This window comes from Homo sapiens, chromosome 6, assembly GCF_000001405.40.
Source record: "Homo sapiens chromosome 6, GRCh38.p14 Primary Assembly".
Taxonomy (NCBI): Eukaryota; Metazoa; Chordata; class Mammalia; order Primates; family Hominidae; genus Homo; species Homo sapiens.
The window spans coordinates 136,340,138-136,366,723 of record NC_000006.12 but is presented as its reverse complement, the minus strand read 5'-3'; the positions used below and the strand labels follow the sequence as shown (position 1 = coordinate 136,366,723).

The 26,586-nt window shown below is 40.2% G+C and overlaps 1 protein-coding gene and 1 pseudogene across 39 annotated transcripts in view; one reads left to right on the top strand and one right to left on the bottom strand.

Moving 5' to 3' along the window:
* MAP7 (microtubule associated protein 7) overlaps positions 1-23,990 on the top strand; it is a 207,689-nt gene extending 183,699 nt beyond the window's left edge. For 37 of the 39 annotated variants that reach the window (NM_001388352.1, NM_001388347.1, NM_001198617.3 and 34 more), the window contains 10 exons: positions 285-397; positions 706-989; positions 4,022-4,274; positions 5,545-5,719; positions 5,926-6,027; positions 6,693-6,743; positions 6,847-6,904; positions 9,930-10,032; positions 20,645-20,868; positions 22,486-23,990. In NM_001388352.1, the coding sequence (NP_001375281.1) occupies positions 285-397; positions 706-989; positions 4,022-4,274; positions 5,545-5,719; positions 5,926-6,027; positions 6,693-6,743; positions 6,847-6,904; positions 9,930-10,032; positions 20,645-20,868; positions 22,486-22,496 (1,374 nt within the window). In that variant the 3' untranslated portion in view covers positions 22,497-23,990. Of the gene's footprint in view, positions 1-284; positions 398-705; positions 990-4,021; positions 4,275-5,544; positions 5,789-5,925; positions 6,028-6,692; positions 6,744-6,846; positions 6,905-9,929; positions 10,033-20,644; positions 20,869-22,485 lie in introns of all 39 variants that reach the window. The other 2 variants (NM_001388339.1, NM_001388353.1) reach the window with 2 other exon arrangements.
* On the bottom strand, positions 2,226-2,724 carry RPLP1P8 (ribosomal protein lateral stalk subunit P1 pseudogene 8; annotated as a pseudogene).
* Positions 23,991-26,586: the final 2,596 nt, after the last annotated feature.

Genomic DNA, 26,586 nt, shown 5'->3' with positions numbered 1-26,586 from the left:
AAGTATAGGTGCTTTCTAAAAGTATGTACACACATATGCTTTTTGACAAATATGACTCCAACACATCCGGAATCACCTTATTAGTGTCACATTGTGTTAATTCAGTTATACTGTTCAGTGTTAAGCTAACAAGGGCCTTTTGTTGAGATGGAATGGGTATATGTGACATAGCTAAGAAAATTTCTTAAAAGTCATTCAATGGTTTCTAGCTCCACTGTTGAGTATTGTGAGTGTGTTTGCCTCGCTTGTGGAAAAATCTAACTATTGAGTTTCTCTGAACTTAGAGCTATAAAAAAGAAAGAGAGAGAGAAAATGTACTCTTCCTCACATCTGGCACCCGAAGGGCTGTATCTCCATCTAATCCCAAAGCAAGACAACCAGCTCGCTCCCGACTTTGGTAAGTGAAATATAAGTGGCTGGCTGGGTTGTTTCATGTTAGAGAATTAGTAGCTCTCTCCTCTGAAAGTGAACTGTTCTTCTCATGCTGTTTGGCTTTGACTTAGGGAATAGCATTCTTCCCAAAAGGAAAGAAAAAAGAGAAATTGGAATGGTTCCCTAAAGCAACTCTATTTCTGTATCTACCACATAAAAAACAAATACACGGAGCTAAATATCTGCATTCTCTTCCATCGAGTCGTGTTCTAGGTTCTGGCAAGCCTGTTCTCATGTGTCCCCTTTTGTCTGCCTTGTTTGTTTGTGGCCCAGGCTTCCGTCCAAGTCTCTTCCTCATTTGCCTGGCACACCCAGACCGACATCCTCCTTGCCACCCGGCTCAGTCAAAGCTGCTCCTGCTCAGGTCCGGCCCCCATCCCCCGGCAACATCCGCCCTGTCAAGAGGGAAGTCAAAGTGGAGCCTGAGAAGAAAGATCCTGAGAAGGAACCTCAGAAAGTTGCCAATGAGCCCTCACTAAAGGGCAGAGCACCTTTAGTGAAGGTAGAAGAAGCCACAGTTGAAGAGCGGACACCTGCTGAACCAGAAGTTGGCCCTGGTAAGAGCAAACTCACCTGTGGTCTGGGTGCTCTCTCTTTTTCTCCCGCACTGTTTTGATGAAGCTTTTTTTGTTTTCCTTTTCTTCTTTTATTGGAGACTTGGAAATTTTACTCTAAGGTTAAGTTTAATACCTTTCCTTAAGTATAATATTTTAACTTCGCATTGCTTAAAAATAGTTTTTTACTTAGCAACGCTAAGTAAAAAATTACCTGGCAACACTATTCCTGTGCATACTGGAGTTTAAGGACCCCTGGCGTAGCCTGTGTGCTTGATAGAAGTCAGAATTTTTTCCAGAAGACCCACTGGTTTTCACCTCTGCCAGGGTAACCAGATGCTACTTAGAAATGTAAAACCACCTGGAGCTTGAAGTTCAATATCTCTAGTTGAAAACTGTCTTCATTCCAAAGTTTTCTACTTAAGACTTAATTTGAAGATAGAGGGTGGGGCAAGAAAGAGGAGATGATTCAAGACAGGTGAAAATGGTAGAGAAAGGAGGAGTCCAGTGTTTGCTTCCATGGAAAAAGAAAGAAAGGAAAGGAGGGTCATAGAACATCATAATAGCCATGAAAAAAATCTGTGGAAGCAGAAGTAGAAATGTAAATCTCAAATCATACATCCAAAAGCCTATTGATAGAGCCACAAACACGTGAATTCAGGTGTAGGTTCTCAGTGCTTTTATTGGCTGAGTCCATTTCACAAAATGTGTTCAGAGCACCTGCATCAAAATCACCTGTTGTATTCATTATCTATTGCTGCATAATGAATTAGCAGCATGAAACAACAACAAACATTTATCATATCACATGGATTCTTGGGTCAGGAATTTGGCAGCAGCACAGCTGGGTGGTCCCTGCTCAGGACCGCTCATGAGATTGCAGTCAAGCTGTCCACTAGAGCTCCAGTCATCTCAAGACTCAACCAGATCTGAAAGGTGGCTTACATACAAGGCCGGGGGCGGGTGGCCTCAGCTTCTCCACACATGGACCGCTCCATATTATTGCTGAATGTCCTCATCTATCTGCTTGCTCTGCTGGCTTCTGCCAGAGTGAGTGACCTGGAAGAGAGAATGAGGAGGAATGTACAATGTATTTTATGACCCAGTCTCAGAAGTCGCACACCAATGTTTCTGCCACATTCTGTTAAGTAGAAGCAAGTCACTAGGTGGAACTCACACTCAAGGAGAAACATAGTCTCCAACTTTTGAAGAGAGAGTTTTCAAAGAATTTTTTTTAAGAGTTCAGCTTTTTATTGAACTTGTTACAAAAGAGGTTTAGTCAAAAAGACCAAAGCCCATATCCTCCTTGGACTCCTCAGACTCTCTTTTCTTTGCTTCTATTTCTTCTCCTCAGCTGGAACAGCATTGGTGGAGGGGGCAGGACCTTCTGCTGGTGCAGGTCCACGAGCTCCTCCATTGCAGATGAGGCTCCCCATGTCAACATTGGCCAAGGCTTTTGCAAACAAGCCAGTCCAAAAAGGTTCAACATTTACACCAGCTGCTTTAATGAGGGCATTGATCTTATCCTCCTTGACGGTCACCTCACCCTCATGCAGAATGAGGGCCGAGCCTTATGCAGAATGCAGGCGAGCTCAGAAACAGAGGCCATGGTGTGAGCAAGTGTGGGGCTGGCACTGCCAGGCAAGGTGCTAGTTGCCAGATGAAGTGAGGGTTCCACTTCAATGTGGCCCTACATTCCTCAGAGGGACCGAGTGCAGCTTGGCAGCAGCTGAGGAAAACTGGAAATATTTTTAAACCACCACATCTATAATGTTTTGACATACAGACCCTTGGTTTTTACCTCAGACTTACTAAGTCAGAATATGTAGTGGTGGATATGAGGACTCTGAAAGATACTAAGCTTGTCAGTTGATTCCTAAACATGGTTGCCAGATAGAACACAGGGTGGCCAGTTAAATCTGGCAATGCTATTCCTGTGCATACTGGAGTTTAAGGACCCCTGGTATAGCCTGTGTGCTTGATAGAAGTCAGAATTTTTTTCCAGAAGGCCCACTGGTTCTCACCTCTGCCAGGCTAGCCAGATGCTATTTAGAAATTTAAAACCACCTGGAGCTGTGAATTCAATATTTCTAGTTGAGAATTGTCTTCATTCAAAAGACTTAATTTGAAGATAGAGGGTGGGGCAAAGAAAGAAGAGATGATTCAAAACAGGTTAAAATGTTAGAAAAAGGAGGAGTCCAGTATTTGTTTCCATGGAAAAAGGAAGGAAAGAAGGGCTAGAGCATCATGATGGCCGAGAAAAGTCTGTGGAAGCAGAAGTAGAAATGTGACTCTCAAAAGGAGGGGCTGGAGCAGCCAGGGGCCAGAGCTTGCACTTGCTGGTGCCTTGCTCACTGTGGTGCAGAATTGTGAGCATCAGTGTGGGGCTTCTGGGGCACCAGCTCTCTAGGTCATCTTCCTAAATCCGAGTAAGGCCAGAGAACTTCTGCTCCCATCTTGCATCTTGGCAGCTTGGGATATATAAGCAGAATGAGCACCAGCTCCCAAAGAGGCCCCGAGCTCCTCCCATCTCAGACCTAGAGACAGCTCTGGGGAGACAAAAGGGTCCTCTTCATAGGGTATCATCTTCCCAGGCTGAATCTGGACTCATGGCATGGATGCTGAGGATGCTGCTCTAGTAATGAATGGTTACCGAAGAGTAGGAATTTTCAAATGCAATAAAAGACAAATGGATGATCTCATCTTCTTTTTGCTCAGTGTATAACTCCCCACAGACTCTAACATGAGGCTTTGTACACATTCAATATATGTTAACTGATTTAACTGGTATAAAAATAAGACTTGGTGACAGAGTGTCAGCTTTGTTGGATGTCTTACTTACACATACTGATTTTTTTTATCTGTTGCTTGGTTACAGATAGAACATAGTGAAACCGTGAGAACACACAGTAATAAACATTCCCTTTTCTTTCATAATGGTAAATTCTAGGCCTTGGATGTGGGGAATGCTAGTTTTGGTTTTGTTCTTTGGATTTTGTTTCCAACTGGTTTTCTCCTTGTACCTATTTGTGCAGCTGCTCCAGCCATGGCCCCAGCTCCAGCCTCGGCCCCAGCTCCAGCCTCGGCCCCAGCTCCAGCCCCGGTCCCCACCCCAGCCATGGTCTCAGCCCCGTCATCCACTGTGAATGCCAGTGCTTCTGTTAAGACTTCTGCAGGCACCACCGACCCAGAGGAGGCCACAAGGCTTCTAGCTGAGAAGAGGCGGCTGGCCCGAGAGCAGAGAGAAAAGGAAGAAAGGGAGAGGAGGGAGCAGGAAGAGCTTGAAAGGTAAATGGGAGACATTGCTCCACACCATGGTGTCAGTGATACTTTGGATTAACTCATCACCCCTCTGAGAGGGAGGAGGTGATAATACTGATGAAAGTGAATGGATTAGTTCTTTCAGGATTACTCTTACCTAATTTTCCTATGACTACTAAGCAGTTTGTTTTTTAAATCACATCTTCTTCTTTTTTTTAAATAGAAATGGGGTCTCACTATATTGCCCAGGCTGGTCTCAAACTCTTGGGCTCAAGGGATCCTCCCACCTGAACCTCCCAAAGTGTTGAGATTGCAGACATGAGCCACCATGCCCAGCCATGTTTTCTTATTTTAATGACAGTGCAACAACATTGATGGAGAAAGCTTTAAAGAAAAAAAAAATCCATAATCATACCAATTTTCAGTAATAGTGTACATTTTGGGTGGTCCTTTCTAGTCTCTCAACAGTATGGGAGTGTGTGTGTATATATACATACATATACATATTTACATAATTATAACCACAGCAGAGGTACAATTGTACAGTCTGCTTTTTTACTTAACACATCTCCAATCTCCAGGTTTCCGTTTTATCTTTGTAATTATCACATTAAGGCTGCATAATAAGGGTTCATGTTTTCTCCTTTCCAGATAAAACTCCTCTCGGAGGGTAGCCAGGTGGGATCTTTACATGCCCCATGATTGCCTGCCAGGCAGTATTCCAGAAACAGTTTGTTTAATTGGTCATCTTCTGGGCCTAATAAGACGAATGTCAATATAATTGTTCTTCAAACGAACACAACTGTACCCTGGGGAAGGATCTCATGCACTCGCTGGACCGCCATCTTGGCCATGCCTTTCCCTTGGCTCCAACAGGGAGCTTACATGGCTGTCTTCCTCCTGTCCTGTGACAGAACACTGTGACCCTTATTTATTTACAAAGATTCCCTTTGGCTGGGGTGCTTCAAATTCATTACTAAGAAGTCACATTATTTGAATTAAACAAGTCAGAGCCTTTAAAAAATAGTTAAATTCCTTCCAAAAAGCCAGCTCTCCCCAAGATATTGGTGGTTACACGTTGCTTCTATTTAGCACGGACAGCAATGCAGCTGGCAAGGCGGGAGGAAGTCTAAGGGTGGCTTCGCGCTTTGTCCCTTAGCAGTGGTGAAGGCATCCAGTGGGGATTTTTCTACTGGACGCCTAAAGGAACCGCCCTACAGAACCACCGACGGAGGCCTCTCTTCAAAGATTTCTCCTCAGGTGTCTTTGGTTTTGGTTTTGTTCTGTCTTTTTCCAGACAAAAGAGAGAGGAATTGGCTCAACGTGTGGCTGAAGAGAGGACGACTCGCCGTGAGGAGGAGTCGCGCAGGCTGGAAGCCGAGCAGGCCCGGGAGAAGGAGGAGCAGCTGCAGCGGCAGGCGGAGGAGCGGGCGCTGCGCGAGCGGGAGGAGGCAGAGCGCGCCCAGAGGCAGGTGCGGCCGCACCCCACCCTGGCCCCGGCCCCAGTCCCGCAGGGAGACGCCCCAGCCCAGCAGAGGAGGGTGCGGACTGGACTGCTGGTGCTCCCGCTTTCCACACCTTCTCCATCCGCCACCTCGCCCCCACCTCTGGGCACCCCCTGGGAGACCCGGGCAGCCCGCCTGTTTGTCAGAGGCAGACGCCGACCTTCTGTTTTCAGAAAGAAGAAGAAGCTCGCGTTCGTGAAGAAGCAGAGAGGGTCCGGCAGGAACGAGAGAAGCATTTCCAGAGAGAAGAGCAAGAGCGCCTGGAGAGAAAGAAGGTAGCTGCGTCTTAGTAGAGAGGCCCGGGACGCGAACTTGCACCTCTAAGACCCAGAGACTAGCCCTGGCCGTCAGAAAACGCGTGTTCTACCCTTGCCACATAAACTAGTAGCCCCCTCAGTGATAACAATCTCCTGCAAAGAAATCTCTCTCGGTGTTTTAGCCGTCACCAAAAAACACTTACTTCCACTTCATGTAGCTTAAGGCAGTTCCAACTTTCTTGAATAACCCCAGTTAAGACAAAGCAGCACTGCTGGGCCGGGTGGCTCATGCCTGTAATCCCAGCACTTTGGGAGGCCACGGCAGGTAGATCACCGAAGTCAGGAGTTCGAGACCAGCCTGGCCAACATGGTGAAACCCTGTCTTTACTAAAAATGTAAAAATTAGCTGGGCGTGGTGGCGGGCGCCTGTAATCCCAGCTACCTGGGAGACTGAGGCAGCTTGCGCCCAGGAGGCAGAGGCTACAGTGAACTGAGAGCTTGCCACACGGCACTCCAGCCTGCGTGACAGGGCAAGACTCCATCTCAAAAAAAAAAAAAAAAGTGCATATTGTATTTTTCCAAAATAACAGACCATTTTAAATAATCTATTTCATCAGTTAAATATGCCAGGCTGGCTTTTTTTCTGTGTCTAATCTTCTTGCTCAATTCTTCCTTTCCTATAGCGACTTGAGGAGATTATGAAAAGAACCAGGAGAACAGAAGCTACAGATAAGGTATTGACATGGCCGTTTTCTAACTACTTTTGTATGCTTTTATCTTTTTCATTTTCACTTGTAACTCTAATTTTTAAAAGTCCTCTTTTTTTCTTCTTCGTAGAAAACCAGTGATCAGAGAAACGGTGATATAGCCAAGGGAGCTCTCACTGGAGGAACAGGTATTTCTGTCAATGAACTCAAACCAATTTATATATAAAATGTTTAAATTGACTCTCCAGGGGTGAAGATATTCAGGAATTGATGGAGGGAAAAAAGATCCAGTGCTTACAGACTCACAGAAGCTTAGGGGTCTGTCATCGAGTCCTTCCTTCCTCTTATGTAAAACTGTCTAGTGTTTCTACCAGTTACTTTTCACGTTTGTTTATACTCTAATGGGTTGCTTGATATTTTAAATCATCTTATGTAATATGTATTTATGCATATATGTATATATACTTATACATATATGTGTATACATATACTTTTAGAAGAATTTCTTTTGAGTTTATAAAACTAAATTTCATTTATCACATACTGTCTGCTCAAGTAGTGTATATTTATATTTCCTCTTAAGAAAGGACTTTAAATTTACACATTGGACAACTTGTATTATAGAAGTTCTCAGAAAAATGATTTAAATGTTATTTATCTTAGATCTGACTTCAAAATAAAGTTAAAAATTTGTTGAAATTCTTATTTTTTTAATTGACAAATAATAGTTGTACATATTCTTGGGGTCCAGAGTGATATTTCCATACATATAATGTACAGTGATCTTGAAATTTCATTAGAGTTACTGATATGCCATCGGCTTTGGAAAGAGATTATTGATTTTTTTTTGGAGATTATAAGTCAAATGTATTTAAAATAAAAGTGAAATTAGCCTTAATACTCAGATTAAATTAATATTAAGTGCCCTTTTTGTATCAGGTACATCTTTCATACATAATTCCTACTGCTGCCTTGTGAAGTGGTTTGCTTTGTCTTTGAGTCAACAAGCATTTTTGAAGCTCTTCTATGTGCCAGGCCGTGTTATAGGGCTGGGATTCAGTGTGAACAAATAGGCAAAGTCCCTCTACCCACAGGGGCACTCAGGTCCAATGACAGGCCAGGCTTACGCAGCTGGGGCCCCGGTCCCCCAGCTCCTGATTCTGCTCCTTCAGTGATCCTTCGTGGTCTTCATGATTGTACATGCAGGTGGTTAGTAGATAGCTCATCATTGTCTTCCTCTTTCCTCATGTGTGATATCAATATGAAAAGAAAAGACCAGAGGTACTGCAGTTTTCTTTTTCTGTTTACAAACAAAAGCAAAGGCTGGAATACCTTTTGCTCAAAGATCAAATCCAACGGTTTATGTGACAGAACATTGCCTATAAACATTAAGGGTTTTCAAATGTAAAGTATTATTGGTATTTTGGGACTTGGTTTTATTTCCATAGAAGCTATTTTGGTTTCTGTATGTCATAATTCCTTTATAGTGGAGTTTTCATGCTCTTTTAAAGATGCTCTAATGTATGTATGTGTATGTTTGGAGAATAGTCTTAATGGTTGTATATTATAACCCCATTGCATTTTTAGCATACTGTCTTCAAGAATATTGTAATAGACACAGGCTGTAAGTAGGCATAGTACCCAGTGAGTTGTCAGAGTGATCAATTTAAGCTGTAAATTGCACCAGCTCAAGATTATTTGAGGGGCTAATGCTGTAGTTTGTGCCTGTCCAGTCTCCTTGTTGGTTTGTTTGCATTTTCCCCCTTCCTGCCCTTTCCTTATCTGTTCTTTCAGTATTCTTTATAAATCAATCCAAGAATGAACAAAGGCAAGAGGGAAGGTGAAACTTGCTGTTTGGCATAGCTGTGTTTATCAACACTCATGTAAATTTGATTTGAGTTAAAACTGCTAAAAGGAGGCTTGAGGATTAGCTGTGCCTAACAAATATTCCCCTTCTCCCAGTCCCACATCTGATTGCGGGCTGACTGGTGTTACCAGTGCTACAAAGAGAATTCTAAGGTGGGTATGCAGGCAGGCGAGTTTACAGACCTATCATATGTTTTCTCAGGGGCTGCCTGTCACCAGCTTTGCAAATTTGGGCAGATTTGAAATTATCACTTACCTTTCTGCCTTAGTTATCAGATCTCTTGTACCTCTGGCAGCTTTATTGAATTTGTGCCAGGTTGTAAAATAACATTGTCTTGAAATTATTTCAGACCAGGTGAGGTAGCTCATGCCTATAATCCCAACACTTTGGGAGGCTGAGGCAGGAGGATCACTTGAGCTCAGGAGTTCAAGACTGGGCAACATAGCAAGACCCTGTCTCTACAAATAATTTTTTTTTAATTAGCTGGGCATGTTGGCATGTACTTGTGGTTCCAGCTACTTGAGAGGCTGAAGCAGGAGGATTGCCTAAGCCCAGGAGGTCGAGGCTGTAGTGAGCCGTGATCACACCACTGCACTGCAGCCTGGGTGACAGAATGAGACCCTGTCTCAAAAAAAAGCAGGGGGCAAGGGGGTGAGGGGTAGGAATTATTTCAGTTATTCTCTCACATCAAGCTGAAACCATAATCTACCACAGATATATCTGAAACTCTGGCCTATATAAAGGTTTATAAGTAACCCTGTCCTGTATTTTAGAGGCAGTCATCAATATTGTCAGCTTAAAGTGGGCTGCAACATTGAGCTTTGAATAATGAGGTGGAATGGTGAGGTACAGTACACTGCTTTCCATTCGTGAAATCCTCATTGTTCTAAGTGTGCATAGGACTAAACTGAGTTTTCAAAAATATTTTTAATACTTATGGTGTTCCTTGGTGATTTGCTCTGAATCCTTTGTAAAGATATTCAGTGTCAGCTTGATCAAGTCAGCTTACTGCTATCTTTATCAGTTGCTTTGGTTTCAATATTATATACTTCATGTAACTTTAGTGCAAGGAAAAATAATAATACTTTGCCCTTCCAACATGCCAAACACTGTTCTAAGTCCTTTACATGTATTAATATTAATACATTTAATTCTAACAATCTATGAAGTAGGTACTATTACTAATGAGGAAACTAAGGCACAGAGAGTTTAGGTGATGTGCCCAAGGTCTCACATCACTTAAGTAGCAGAACCAGCACATAAATCAAGGCATTCTGGCTCTTGGAGGTTAGGTCTAAGAAAAGAATATTAGTAACCCTGTGTTCTGTCTCCTTTACTATGCCCAGAGGTGTCTGCACTTCCATGTACAACAAACGCTCCGGGAAATGGAAAGCCAGTTGGCAGCCCACATGTGGTTACCTCACACCAGTCAAAAGTGACAGTGGAGAGGTGAGTTTTCACTGACATTCATTAAAGTAAAACATTACTGTTTTTACCCACCAGCTCCACCAGAATTTCAAAGTCTTAACATTAGGATTTATTATTTGGGGGGGGCCTCATTGATTTTTGGTTGAGCTAGTAATTCTGTACTCCAAGAAAGTGGAAATATCTTTTTTCTCAAGTCATTAAATGTAATGGTGAGGATTTAGTGTGACTGTTCCAAGAATATTACAAGTGGCCAAGTGCAGGGCTCACTCCTGTAATCCCAACACTTTGGGAGGCTGAGGAGGGAGGATTACTTAAGGCTGAGAGTTCTAGACCAGCCTGGGCAACATAGCAAAGCACCATCTCTACAAAAAAAAATAGCAAAACTAGCAGACGTGATAGTGTGTGCTTGTAGTCCCACCTTGGGAGGCTGAGGTAGGAAGATTGCATGAGCCCAGGAGGTCAAGGATGCAGTGAGCCAAACTCCTGCCACTGCAGTCCAGCCTGGGTGACAGAGTGAGACCCTGTCTCAAAAAACAAAACAAAAAACAAGTGATAATCTGTTAGTTTTCTTTGTGTATATTTAGCCTGATATGGACCATATCCACATTCTTTAATGGTATATAACAATTGCATTTTAGCCATGCATAATATTACAGTGACTTACATGTTTGTTCCATATAAAAGTCATGTAGATGTCAGTATTTCTTATATTATTAATAACAGGGCTTCTTATTGAAGAACCAGACAGTTGCTAACAACAGCCTAGAAAACAGTCTGGATTTCAGAAAGATTGCCTTTCTCTTTTCTTGTAATTATATCAACAGCATCATATGAACATTTTCAAAAACGAAAAATAAGGGTAATCATAGCCTGTGCCTAAAAATCCAATCATAGAGAACTTGCAGAAATATTTTTAATAATGTTCAAAAAAATTTAGCTATGACTTTTTAAATTTGGGAAATCTACTTAATGTATGAGTCTTCCTGTCTTTAATGCCAGTCTTTGCTACCAACAGACATCTGAAAGTCCTCAAATTATTTTCTTAATCTAAAAACACATAATTGTTTCTCGGCTTTTGGCCAGGATAAGTACAGACACACAGACACTACATTTTATAATGTAATTTTATAATGTAATTTTATAATGTAATGTAACATTTTATAATGTAATGGGCAGCAGTTAAAAGGTAAGTCCCTACTATTGTGTTGATATCTTTCTGAGACTGTGGAATTTTTATTTATTTATTTTTTGCCTACTATAATACCAAAGAGAATACCCTGAGAGATCTTAATAATTCATTTCCAATTATGTTGAATAACTTTATTGTTGTAATTACCTAAGATCTATATTAAATGGTATTTTTTTCTTAGTTTTAATTAGATTTTTTAAATTCATTCCCTAAAACTTATTATGTTCAATTCATTGACTTCAGAGATTTCTTTTTTAAAAAAAAAAGAATAAAAGATACCACAGAGAGAATCCCATTATTATGGGGAACAGACAATGCCTACCATAGTTTCTTTTATTATTATTTTTTTTGAGACAGACTCTCACTCTGTTGCCCAAGCTGGATGCAGTGGTGTTATCTTGGCTCACTGCAACCTCCACCTCCTGGGTTCAAGGAGACACACCCAGCTAATTTTTGTATTTTTAGTAGAGATGGGTTTCATCATATTAACCAGGCTGGTCTTGACCTGCTGACCTCAAGTGATCCACCCATCTTGGCCTCCCAAAGTGCTGGGATTACAGGCATGAGCCATCACACCCAGCCTACCATAGCTTCTTAAGCCACTGATTATGTTATCTGATCTATAAAGTTAATTTATGCATAATTTGACTCTCTTCAGTAGTAATATCACCAAGCAATTAATCATTATATAAGAACCTGAAAAATAATTTTACTATATTTGATACAGATAATAAAATTCTGTTATATTTTAGCCTTTTCCACACACAGAAAAGCAACAATTTGTAATGAAACCAAAATGAACTTACTGGTGTCATCCATCTTTACCCAACAAATAAATTATCCTTTGTCATATATGTAAGATAATCCCTGTCAAACCATTAGAAGAAACATAAGCATAGCCTTTTTCTACTTTCACCTGACAATACAGGCAGGTCCAGATGAGCATCAGACATAAACATCAGAATATAAGAATAAGCCTAATATGAAATCCATTGGCCATCTACTCCAGTGTCTCTCCTTTAAAGGAAATATATATATGTATATATATCTACTATATATATTTTTATATATATCTACTATATATATATATCTACTATATATATTTTTATATATATCTACTATATATATATATCTACTATATATATTTTTATATATATCTACTATATATATATTTCCTTTAAAGGAAATATATATTTATAGGAATTTAAAGGAATTTATATAAAGGAAATTTATTTTTATATATAGTAGATATATATTTCCTTTAAAGGAAATTTATATATATTTATAGGAATTTAAAAGAATTTATATAAAGGAAATTTATATATAGTAGATATATATATTTTTATATATAGTAGATACATATTTTTATATATAGTAGATGTATATATTTTATATATATAATATATATATATATATAGTAGATTCCCAGAGTTACTTGTATTATTTTTACAAATATAAATTTAGGTTTAAAATTTCTATAGCCCTTGTTCATTTATAAAGCCAAAACAGCAGATCACAAATTTACATAAATAATAAAACTACTTTCAACCTTCCCCCACAGTGTTACCCTTCTATCCCTTGATTTCCATTTCTAGGGCACCCCCACTGACCAAGTCCCTGGATGTTTGCAGTAGCCACCTAAATGCTTTTGCCCCTCAAATACTAAATACCAGCCGGGCATGGTGGCTTACGCCTGTAATCCCAGCACTCTGGGAGGCCAAGGTGGGAAGATCACTTGAGTTCAGGAGTTTAAGACTAGCCTGGGGAACATGGTGAAACCCCTTTTCTAAAAAAATACAAAAATTAGCCAGGCATGGTGGCACACAACTGTAGTCCCAGCTACTTGGGGGGCTGAGGTGGGAAGATCACTAGAGCCCAGGAGGTCAAAGCTGCAGTGAGCCTTGATCAGAACTCTGCACTCCAACCTGAGTGACAGAGCGAGACCCTGTCTCAAAAAAATAAATAAAGCTGTAAAATCAAGAACAGTGAAATTATTGTGAAGAATGATGTTTTTCTGAAATTAAGTGGGTAATATACATATGGTACTGATTGATCCCTTTTGCATTAGGGATAACCATGATTCATTTCACTCACTGCTTCTCTCTGTTTGAACTGCTTTAAAACCCCTAACCTCTTTTTAATACAGAGTGCCATGATGATACTTGGCTTTTACATGGCACTAGCATATTTATTTAGCAGTTCAGCTGGTTCATGTCATTAGCCCTTGTCAAATAAGCTGGTGCTACCTGATATCAGTATGCTTTGAAATACACCTGAAAATGGAGCACTGAAATTATGTAGCAAAACTCAGCTTTGTGATAATCAGTCAGACAGATGATCAGACTGTACATTATTTTTTTAAGTTACCTGGGTGAAAACATAAATTTTTAAAAATCATGTAAAGAACAGGACCCCAGTTTGAGAAACAGTGCATTTCTGAATGACACTGACCTGTAGGAAATGTTTAATGTGATGTTAAGTTTGGTCCCCATTATATGACACACAGTTTGTGATATGTAGCCTAAGAAATTCTGCTTCCCTTAATTATTTTGAAATTTGTCATCCTTGAATTCATCCAGATCGATCTTGAAACAATCTGTATTTTTGCCTTGTATTACCTCTTATAGCAACAAGTACAAGAAAAGAAGGGCATAAAGAAGTACTTTTATTTATCTTATAGCTGCTCTTTGCAGTTTCAAGGTTAGGACCCATAGTTATCATAAACTAGGTTTTAGAGAATGTCATTGTTTGTAGTTTCCATACCCTTCATAGTTTTATGGGTCTTATTTCTATTCCCTGTCTACACTTATTTTATAAGCTGAATCCTCCTATTATGTTTACTGTATCAGTCGGGGTCTAATCAGAAGGAAAAAAACATAGATTTAAACCGGAGAAAATTTAAAGAATAACTATCATTCGGATTGGAGTAAATAGGATGGAGTAACTATGATTTTGGTTTGGCTTATAAGAAATAAAGAGCACTTGTGGGAATGATAGGGAAAAAAGGAAAAAAGAAAGAGAATTCTAAAGAATTTAGGGGCCTGGTGTGGTGGCTCACACCTGTGATCCCAGCCCTTTGAGAGGCTGAGGCAGGTGGATCACTTGAGCCCAGTTGGAGACCAGCCTGAGTAACATGGCAAAACCCCATCTCTACTAAAAATACAAAAAGTTAGCCAGGCCCAGTGGCGTACACCTATCGTCCCATCTACTCAGGAGACTGAGGTGGGAGGATGGCGTGAGCTCAGGAGGTCGAGGCTGCAGTGAGCCTTGATCATGCCCCTGCACTCCACCCTGGGCAACAGAGTGGGACCCTGTTAAAAAAAAAAAAAAAAATACGAATAGCAGATACAAGGAGCAGTCACATACCCTAGTGTTGCACCCAAGAAGAAAGATCCCTTACCCTGCAGGTCTGTAATCCAGACCTTGTTAGAGAGGATATAACTGTTTGTATTGGATGCCAGAGAAGTTGCTATGTTTTCTTGCCAGCAGAACTTGCCAGAGATCCACCCTCTAGAGTGCCTAGGAAAGCTGTTCACTGTCTCCCCAGAAGCACTCTACCATGAATCTGCCCCAGTGGGGGTGCTGGGGGGAGGCTGCTGGCCACTGTGCACTGCAGGAGCCAGGCACTGGGAAAAGCACGTGTATGCTAAAGAAGCCTGCTGAGCAAGCACACACCGACCAGAAAGCAAAACTCTGCTGCAGTGTCTCTCCAGCAGTGGCAAAGGATAATTATTTAACAGGTCTGGATCCAGTTTCACAGAACAGGAATGATGGGTGAATTTGGAGCTGAGAGGCAGTAAATCAATAACTGACATATTTACCTTATCTCTAAAAGACTCCTTCAGCTGTTTGAATATTTTATTCATATTTCTTCAGAGATTCTTCAGCATGAATATGGGGTTGAGGAAAAAGAGCTTCAGAACCAAAAGTTCCAGGCTGGATCCCTAGTTTTACCTTTGAGAAGTTCAGCAACTGTGGGGTTAACCTACTTAATTAAACCTTAGTTTTCTCATCTGGACATGGAGATACTTTCCACACAAAGTATTGGGAGGTTCAGTGAAATGCTATCTGTGAAGGAGTTCCAAAAACTGTTGTACTATATGAATGTTACATATCATTATCTTTATCCTCCTAAAATGAATGCAGTGTCCAGAAAACACACAGTACACTAGGTGTAGCTGCAGTGTGATGTAAAATAATGCTTTTGGTTTGTTCCTGGTATCCCATCTTCTCCTGCCTAGCATTTTATTGGCTTTTTTTTGTTTTTTCGTTTTTTTTTTTTTTTTTACCATCAAAACACAAGGAGTCAGTATCACCAAGGAACAGTTTGCAGTGATCCCAAGATGTCTTAACCTCCATTGTGACTGATCATTCACTGTCTTTTAAGGATAGCTCAGCTGACAGTTTTCTAAACCCACTGCTTTTACAGACTGCCTGCCTTGTCACTCATTTCATGATTTTCCCTGTTTTCTCGAGGGGCTATTTTTATGACTTGCATTTCCAAGAATAAACATTATCTGCATACTTAAATTTTATCCTGCTTGTCTTCCGATTATTATAAAACTAAACCTAGCACTGATCCCTGGGGCTCTCTGCCACTTAAACTCTTCCATCTAGAGAAGGGCTTGCTTATTCCTGTCTTTATTTTGTTTTATTTTTATTTTATAAAACAGAGTCTTGCTCTGTCACCAAGCCTGGAGTGCAGTGGTACGAGCATGGCTCACTGCAGCCTCTACCTCCTGGCTCAAATGATCCTCCCACCCCAGCCTCCTGAGTAGCTGGGACTACAGGTGCGAGCCACCACACCCAGCTAATTTAAAACATATATATTTTTATAGAGATTAGGTCTCCCTGTGTTGCCCAGGCTAGTCTCAAACTCTTGGCCTCTGGCCTTAAGCAGTCATCCCACCTTGGCCTCCTGAAGTGTTGGGATTACAGGCGTGAGTCACCACGCCCAGCCTATTCTTGTCTTTAAAATCCATCCCCAAAACAGCTTCCCATTCATGAATAAACATTCCCTTTGATGCAGTGGAAACTCAGGTTTTTAAACAGTTTTACATCTGAAATTCTGTTAAAAACTTTAAATGACAAATCACATCCATAAATATTTCCTTTCACTCCTAGTTTCAAATCAACCTTAAAATGCTTATAAAATCTTTGGTTTTCATCTCAGTGCATTATTTTTAGTGAGGCATTCCATGATCCTTGTGATCAGTCAGTATCTTTATTAAATACCCTACTTTGCACCTCAAGTAGAGTTATAGATCCCTCCAGCTTGCCCACTGTGAATTAAATCACTGATTAATGGAAATGCTCGGGGTCCCTGCCAAAGAACATGGTGTGCCTGATACTCCATGAAAATCCATCATGACAGATCATGCAAGTATAGTGGTAGAATTTATTTTTGCTAGAAAACTCCACTGCTCAGAATGACTATCTTTTCATTCAAATTGAGAGAGAAGTATCACTTTTCCTAATGTCTTTAGTACCTAATATATTCGTAAATAAATGAATGCTGTGAACTAAATTACATTTGCTCCTCCCCACCTTGAGATATTTCAGCAAACTGTCTAGCAGCACCCCAGGAGGATGGCGACCCCCTAACATTACTTTTCCTAGCAGCTAGGACTGAGACCCTTTGTTATAGAACAACTCTGTACCAGAAGTATCCTGAACCCTACTCCTCACCTTACTCCTGAGTGAGACGCCTGGCCCCTTTGCCCCAAAGCCATTTTTCTTGCCCATCTCTTTTCCCCCTGACAGGTTCCCCACTGACATTAGTTAGAATGGAAGAGGGTTTGAGTTATCACAATTCTGGCCAGATTTTAAAGGTATACAGAAATATGTGAATATGCCAAGTGTGGTGGCTCACGCCTGTAATCCCAGCACTTTAGCAGGTCTAGGCAAGCAGATCACTTGAGCCCAGGAGTTCAAGACCAGCTAGCAACATGGCAAGATCCCGTCTCTACAAAAAATACAAAGATCAGCCGAGGGCAGTGGCATGCATCTGTAGTCCCAGATACGCGGGAGGCTGAGGCGGGAGGATCGCCTGAGCCCAGGGAATTGAAGCTGCAGTAAGCCGTGATTGCACCACTGCACTCCAGCTTGGGCAACAGAGTGAGACCCTGTCTCAAAGAAATATATGAATATATATTAATAACATATATGGATTTTATAAAATTTTATAAATGAATATATACATTTTCCTATGTAAGATATACGACGTTTATAAAATACTTGAAATATATCTTTATGAAATATATGAATATTATATATGCCCTTGAGCTGATCATTCTTACTCAAAAGCCATGTTTGGTTCTTAAGAGAGAGTACTTGTGGAGGGATGTTCCACAGGAATTGAGGAAAATATTTGTCCATGGATAGGAAACTTGCTTTGGAACAGGAAACAAAGGATACGGATCCATATGAATACAAGTCGGGGAGGACAGGGGTGAATATCAGAATGGGAACAGAGGAAGTTATCTGCAGTTTCTCAGGTCATTCTGAGATGTTCTTCTACCCCTAGCTGAGAATCTCTAGTCCAGAGGCTAAGAAGCTCTGCTGCCTATACAGATACTGCCTTACCCTCCTAATACTCCAGAAGACATTTCATGTTTGTTCATTGCCGTAGGGGAGCTGTCTTTTCGTAGAATGTTCGTCTTTTTTTTTAAATAAGAAGTTTTTGGTAATTTTGGTGTTTGACCCATTCATTTTCCCTCCAAATCTTGAGTTCATCATTGCTCTTAGTTTGGCCTGAAGGAAAAGTAACATTCCCAGGCCCCTATTGTTCACACAGGAAGAGATGTATCCCTTTTAATTTAAAAGTTACTTGTTTTAACATAATTAATAAATATCAAGAGAAAATAAGGTTCTGGCTTCCATAAGCTGTGTGGACTGCAGATTCTTGCCAAGGTCCCAACCCCTGCCTGTACACATTTTGGACTGGAGCAAAGCGTGCGGTCTTCAAAAGTCTTACATCAGTCTTCAAACTTCAGAAGGTAACTGAAGGCAGGGAATTCAGAAGCTGGTGCTCTTATTCTGAGTGGACACACGGATCCATACTCCTTAACCCCAGTACTTCAGTTTCAGTTTTATAGTTTCTACCAGTCCCGATGTCCCCTGAACATTTCATGACTTGTCATCCAATGCATATGGCACAATTATCCCTCTGATTGCCAGCAGGTAGAATGGGCAGGTGGAGGGGAAATGAAATCTGATACTGGCTCAAGTCTGGGGTTAGCCATTGCCATTATGACTTGTTAGTACATGCAGGCCTGGAAGGTGACAGGTTAAGGTTGCCAAGGAAAGGGGGCTCTGGAGATACGTTCCTGTTCTTTATCCTTTGCCAGGACTTCTACTTAAATTCTCTCTGTATTAAGAACCAAAATTGTTTCCCTAGTTACAGAAAGGCTGTTGGTGTTAGGCAAGAACAGGAAGATGGGTGTGGCAGCCCAGGCACTTAGAACAGTAGATGTTAGGCATGTGTGTGCACACGTGACTTGGGGGGGGGGGCATGTGCACATGTGTGTGACTGTACTCTTGTGGAGACTTATAATGCCTAGTGGCATTCCCTTCCCTTCTTAGTAAAATAGCAGAAAAGCATCATCACACTGTATAATATTTCAGATTATTTTACAAATAATGTTTTCAGTGTATTCTGCAATGCCTTGTGAGACACTTAGGACAGGCATCTTCATTTTTTCCGTAAAAAAGGAAGGTTTAATAATTTTAAAAATACACAAATATTCAAATCAGAAATGCTTTAGTATGTGTTCCAAAGTCAATACTTCTCACTCAGTAGAGAAAGTAAACTATTTTGACTGGGCGTGGTGGCTCATGGCTGTAATCCCAGCACTTTGGGAGGCCGATGGGGGCAGATCACTCGAGGCCAGGAGTTCGAGACCATCCTGGCCAACACGAAGAAACCCTTTCTCTACTAAAAATACAAAAATTAGCTAGGCATGGTGGCTTGCCCCTGTAGTCCCAGCTATTTGGGAGGCTGAGACTCAGGAACCACTTTAACCCAGGAGGCAGAAGTTGGAGTGAGCTGAGACTGTACCACTGCACTCCAGCCTGGGCAACAGAGTGAGACCCTTCTCAAAAAAGGAAAAAGAAAGTAAACTATTTATTCAATCAGGCAAAAAAAAAGCAAAGTGTTAAAAAGCAATAGAAAGGTTGGATTTACATTAGCATTGTTTTACAATTTGAGAAGACAAACTGACTTGCTAACAATGTTCAAGCAGTTGGTATTACTGAGACTAAGGTTAATTTGTTGAGCATTGAACAAGTTTTGAAGCTTGCACACATATGTATATGCTGCAATGAAATAAAATGAATGGTAAAATTAGTTTAGCACTCATTTGATGCATAGGCATTATTTGGCTACATTGTAAAGCATAATAATAAGCCTATAACAGAGAGTGGTAATCTAAGACAAACCATAGAAGATTAAGTATTTGGGGCCAATTAAGTATATCTCAAAAATAAATCCAAGATATTAAGCATGAATTCATAAGGATCAAGATGAGGTCAGAGGCAGATTTAAGGGGCAAAGATAAGAAGATCGGTCTTCAAAAATTTACATATGAAATTATGCAAGGGCTTTAGGAGGCTGGAATATCTAGAAAGTGTGCGAAATGGCTTAATGAGAAAAACACAGGACCAGAGATTAAGAGATCGTGCATTTAGCCTCAACTATCTCTCAGTAGTTGTGTGACTTTGTGCAAATCATTTACTCCCCCCTCCAAATTATAATCCCCTCATCTTTGAGGCAAAGGTCCTCATAAGTGGTACTCTATCAGATGAATATAAAAATGCCTGCAGCAGAAATCATTAAATGTGTAGAACTGCTGCTGATGATGATTTATTTCTATTAATGATGATCTGTTGTAATTGATAAATTGTTCTATTTGATAATTTTCATAACAAAATGACAGATTTAAAATTTTTTTGTTGTTGTTTAGAGACAGGGTCTTACTCCATAGCCCAGGCTGGAATGCAGTGGTGCCATCATAGCTCACTGAAGCCTCAAACTCCTGAGCTCAAGTGATCCTCCCACCTCGACTGCCAGAGTAGCTTGGACTACTGGTGCGTGCCACCACACACAGCTAATTTTTTTCTTTTGTAGAGACGGGGGTCTTGCTATGTTTACCAGGCTAGTCTTGAACTCCTGGCCTTGAGCAGTCCTCCCATCTCGGCCTCCCAAAGCGCTAGGATTACAGGCATGAGCCACTGTGCCTGACCTAGATTTTTTAAAATAAGAATTTAAGGTACAAATACACCACAATTTATTATTTTTGTTAGTAATGATGTGACTCACCAGTCTGATTTTTTTAATTGTAGATTTATAAAATTATTCATTATAAAACATTTTGGTTTTCCTAATAATGTGTTTTCCAGTTTTAAGACTAACTTATTTCTATTTTTATTTTTCAAATTCCTTAGCACTCCCGATTTGGAAAAACAACCAAATGAAAATGGTGTATCTGTTCAGAATGAAAATTTTGAAGAAATTATAAACTTACCCATTGGATCTAAACCATCCAGATTAGATGTCACCAACAGTGAGAGCCCAGAAATTCCTTTGAATCCAATTTTGGCCTTTGATGATGAAGGGACACTTGGGCCCCTGCCTCAGGTAGATGGTGTTCAGACACAGCAGACTGCAGGTAAGCTTGCCTCCAACTCCCTTCTGTAGTCATCAGAAATATCTGACACCCAGGAGGACACGAACTGCTGCCTTCTACAGTATGATTGTGGTAACACTTTGTTCTTCAAAGGACCAAGTAAGCCACAGTGGAAGAGATTGTGCCTGGCTCATAGAAATTGAATTTTGAGTTGGATTGGACAACTTCTAAGGCCTCTCCTATTCTCTCAGTCAGTGCAGAAGTCCAGTCCGCAGCACCCAGTGGGTGTCTGTCAGCCTCTCTGCACAGAGCAGCACCCATTACCCGACATCATGCATGCTCAGAATATGCTTTGTAGAAAGACAGGGCTGTCTCCCCATAATTTTGGACCATCCGGCCTAGTGCTGCCCACTAGAGAAAGATCTGAGTTTTTTCCATCTTTCTGAGGTCTTCATGTATTTGAAGACTGCCATCATGTTCTCCCACCATTTTTCTCTTATTTGGGTTTGGCAACCTGGGTAATAAATTATTGTCCTTTCAAAATGTGACATGATGGATAGTTACGATTTAGGTGATGAAACCAGTACTCACACTGAGTCTAAAGATCTTAACTTGTTAAATGATTTTGTTGCTGTTGAAACTGCCTGTGACTTTCTTATACAATGTCTCTTTGACCCACACTTGACCTGAAGTCTTTGTGCAAAAAGAACAATCAGGACCCAAAGAAAGAAGACATAATATCAAATATTACTAACTCAGTGGTCATAGCAGCTCAGCAACGCAATCCCATCAGTCTCAGGAATTAGCAAGATAATCTGTGCTCCCTGTCTCTTCAAACCTGTTTCAATTTTGTTGACTTCTCTTCCCTGAAGATGACTGTCATGTATTGACCAGCATCTCTTTATATTTCTACAAAAAGAACTGGCCAAATTCAGGATAACTAAATGGAGACAATACAGAATTATTTGTGGGCAAATTGTTTTGCCTTCTAGATTCAATCAGTGAATCTGTAATAAATCAACTTTTAATTCGGTGTGATAACCAATGTGAGCCACCCATCCAAATGAAGCTACTCTTCTTTTCTCCTCTAGTGTACTGACCTTGGAAGTGGAACCTCACTTTAGTGAACTCCACTTTTCTAGGATTTGAAGGGAGGTTGTAAGGGCCCTCCCCTGTCTGACTTTCTGATTCTTAAGCCTTTGGGAACAATCCGACTAATGGTATGTTGATGGAAACATGCCCAGTGCAGCTTCCTACTCATGTTACAGATTTACAGGAAGGGAAAGAACTTCCAGATGATTTATCAACATTTATTTAACCTCCAACATATGTTTAGAACCCTAAGCATCAGATACTGAGGATACAAGAGAAATGAATGTTTAAACCCCTAACCGAGAAAAGTACAATCTGTGTATGCCACTTGGAAAAATGAAGGCTGTGGCCTAAGCTGATGTAAAGAAAAGAACATATGTTTCCTATGAGTAACAGAATTCACTTAAATATAAGACTGTGAATCCTAACAGAATTGCCTATTCTTATATAAGTGTATATAACAGTATAGTAAGTTTTAGAAATTTAAGGTATTACTATGGTATTCTTGAAATAAGATTTTAGATAAATGTCATATTAATCTTGTTCTTTTTCTGTCTCTTCATGTAGAAGTTATATGAGTGTTTCTTCTGAAGAACCAAAGCTGAAATTTAATGAGAATTTCTACAATTAATGGAATTCCTTTCCTGCTATAAAGGAGCATCCCCTCCACCCGTTTTCTAGAGTTCTTGACCATCATTTTGAAAAGATTTATTAAAACTAGCTAAAGACAACAGACTGGATAGCTTTTCTAATAATTTTCATCAATAGGAAAAAAGAAATACGTCTCATTCTTCAATACTTTAAAATGGCTTTTTCCAGTGTGCTCCTTCTTAGCAATCAATATTTTTCTGCATTCTTTAAAAGACAAGAGAATTTGGTTATAAAAGAAATGGGCTGACTAGGCATGATTTTTTTGGTCTTAAAAGCTTAACATGTAAAATTGGCAAAAAAAATTTTTTACCTTTTATAATACTTGAAAAATAAGTACCTCTTTGTTCTACAAGTAGAATGAATAGGAGAAGAGTTTAAGCCTGTTTTTTTAAAATATTATTGCAAAGAGCTCTATTTGTAGAAGCAAATTATAGGCAGATTACCAGGTTCTTATAAATACAGCTTGTACATGGACATTCTGCAAACCCAGCTGTCACATTTTTCTTGCAACTCCTTTTGCAAAAGCAGACTAAAATGTTTTAAAATGTGAAAAAACATTATTTTTTCAAAGCAAGAAAATAATTTACTGCCCTCTTACATAATGTATTTATAAAGTTTTTCCAGATAAACTAATCAAATAAATTAGAATAATGTGACAACATTACAAATTTAATTTGTTAGCTGCATTCCTTCTGATGTTACCACGATAGAATGTTACTGATGATTCAGGGCTATTTCTGAAGTCTGTATGTTGCTGCTGTCCCCAGTGATGGTGGACTTATCTTTGCCTTACCTGATCACAAATTATGTTGGGGAAAATAAAGATTTAATATTTCTTTAAATAGAAAAAGAATTTGGTTTTGCTCGTTTAAGAGCAATGAGAAAATGATGGAATGTTGACTGTGTTTGGCACACAGGACACGGACCTTCATGGAAGTCCTTGCTCTGCGTGGCATCTGTCAGCTTTTCACCTTTCATTCTTATTCTTCACTTTTGCTGCTGAGCCTAGCTGTACAAACTTGCACTTTCATTTGCTAATATAAATTCAGTTTTATTTTACCATTTTAGAGACTACTAATGATTAAATGTAGAAGGAGAGGGTGCACATGTTTTTATGTGGAGTGTTTAAAAGATAAATTTATACCACTGTAATGTGCAGCTTTTATTAAAAGAGAAATTGGTTGAACTGCTAGGTTGAATGAGAGACTTCATCTATTGGACTATTTTTTTTAATCCAGGCATATGGTCTTTAGTAATGGCTTGTAATTTGTGAAAACATTAATTTGGGGGTTTTCCCTGTTTTCAGTTGTCCATGTACACATAGTCATTATATTAGAAAAGAAATCTGTTCAACAAACTTGTTTAATTTGTTTAAATCAACATAGCATGAAACACCAAATAAAATGTTTGACATAGTTTTACTTTTAGCTTTCTCATATGTTATAACTTCACTCAGATTGATTCTTGAGTCTTCAGATTGTCCTTCATTTAACTCAGTGACATTTTCCTAGCCTCCTGTTGATTAAGCATATAGGATAGCCTTATTTAAAATTTAGAGCAGTAGGTGTATTTTGGCTGTTTTTCTTTTTCATGTGTGTTTTTAAACTTTAGTCATCATTAGCAAACGGAAAGCCTTCTAAGTAATCAAGTTTTAATTAGAAGTGGTGCAAAATTCTTAATTATATTGTGTTAAAGAGCAGCGCTGCCAGAGAATGACCCTGACCTTTACAATGGCTGGCTTGCTTTTTGGCCAGCACTGGAAAAATCTATATTTACTTGCAGACCTTAAGGAGGTCTTCAGTATTCACCCTACATTAAGGGGAGCGCTCAGGAATCAAATATGGCCCTCAGTATGAAATGAGAGTGAATGGGCTTTTAGTTTCCTTCCTACACCATTGCAAACTATCTAGGCCAATTTAGTCACCAATCACAGGTCCATTTGGTGGTACCTCTAGCTATTACAGGAAAGTAAGGCTATATGTGTCCTCCTACATAACCGCACCACCTCGTGGTGTGTTACTATAAAAGCAAATCTAAAACAGTTATCTATATGACAAGTTTATTAGCAAGCAGGGCTTCTGGAAAGCTTGGAGAAGTTCTTTCTCTGCTCCTAAGTAACCCCACAAACACCTTGACTAAAAAGTTCACAGTGAAGCAGAAGCAGTGATATTCTGAAAGCAGAATTAAGAAACCTAATTGCTTGGTTGGATCAGGCCACAGTCATAAACGTGTGTGGAGTGCTGGAGGGGGAAGGTACAGGGGCAAGGAGATCTCTAGACCTGAGATACTATAAAAAGTCATTATTTTGCAGGATCTGCCAGATTCTTACACCTCATTTCATGCATTTTGCCTCTAAAAGTCTAGACAACCACCTACTTTTCAGGCTGCATTCATCAGTGAAAAATTACTAATATCCCTTATGCTGATGAACACTCTGGCGTATATTTAGATAAGTGTTTAAAGCATCTTCCTAGCCACCTGATTGAGGTGCTTCAAATACTAACTTACCCCCAGAACAAGATTGAAGTTAAATTACACAGCACACATCCATTACACAGTTTATATTTGAAGTATTTTAAAGTAAATTATTGCATAATAAGTAACAGTCAGCAATAAATTCTCCCATCTTTTGCATTACTTTTTTTAAAATCTGATTGAAATGGACTATTGGCCTCTATCTATTCTGTGCATTGAACACTTAAAGGCATGATGGGGCTGGGTTCCGTGGCTTACACTGTAATCCGAGCACTTTGAGAGGCCAAGGCAGGAGGATCACTCAAGGCCAGCAGTTCAAGACCAGCTTGGGCAGCATCGCAAGACCCTCCCCCGTGCCCATCTCTACTGTCAAAAGAAAAAAAAAAGCGTGATGGAATAGCTATTGGATCAGGTTACAAAAAACAATTTTTAAAAATAAGCTAACATCTAAGAAACATCATTTTGCCTATACTGCCTCCCCCAAAATCCTGTTTTTACTCAGTGAACACCTAAGCCCACTCAGAAATGTTCTGGATTGTCATTTTCTCACATCCTTTAGCACCTCCTTAGTTTTGGGGAGGAGCTCTGAAGGCCTTGCAAGAAGTGGGAGAGAAAAGGACCAGCGTGTGAACAGAAGGGACGATTTTAAGTTTATTACAAATAAAACATTTTGCGACTAGTTCGTTGGTGAATCTCAATTGGGTTTTTATATTAGTAGGTTTGATTACAATTTTAGAGATCAAAAGTAATTTTAGAAACTAAAAATTGGGAGGCCGAGGTGGGCGGATCACCTGAGGTTGGGAGTTCGAGACCAGCCTGACCAACAAGGAGAAACCCTATCTCTACTAAAAAAAAAATTAGCCAAGCGTGGTGGCACATGCCTGTAATCCCAGCTACTTGGGAGGCTGAGGCAGGAGAATCGCTTTAACCTGGGAGGCGGAGGTTGCAGTGAGCCGAGATCACGCCATTGCACTCCAGCCTGGGCAACAGAGCGAAATTCCCTCTCAAAAAAAATAAAAATAAAAAATACAAAAATTAGCTGGGTGTGGTGGTGCACGCCTGTAATCCCAGCTACTCTGGAGGCTGAGGCACGAGAATCTCTTGAACCCAGGATGTGGAGGTTGCAGTGAGCCAAGATTGTGCCACTGCACTCCAGCCCGGGCGACAGAGTGAGACTCTGTCTCGAAAAAAACTAATGCCAAGATAAGTTCTAAAGAAGTTTTAAAATTGCTGTTTAAAAATATACACAGGCCAGCCGCCATGGCTTATGCCCCTAATCCCAAAACTTTAGGAGTCCAAAGTGGGAGGATCGCTTGAGCCCAGTAGTTTGAGACCAGCCTGGGTAACATACAGAGACCCTGTCTCTACAAAAATTAGAAAATTAGCCGGGCATGATGGCGCACGTCTGTGGTCTCAATCACTTGAGAAGCTGAGGTGGAAGGATCACTTAAACCCAGAAGGTCGAGGCTACGGTGAGCTGTGATCGTGCCACTGCATTCCAGCCTGAGTGACAGAGCCAGACCCTATCTAAACAAACAACAA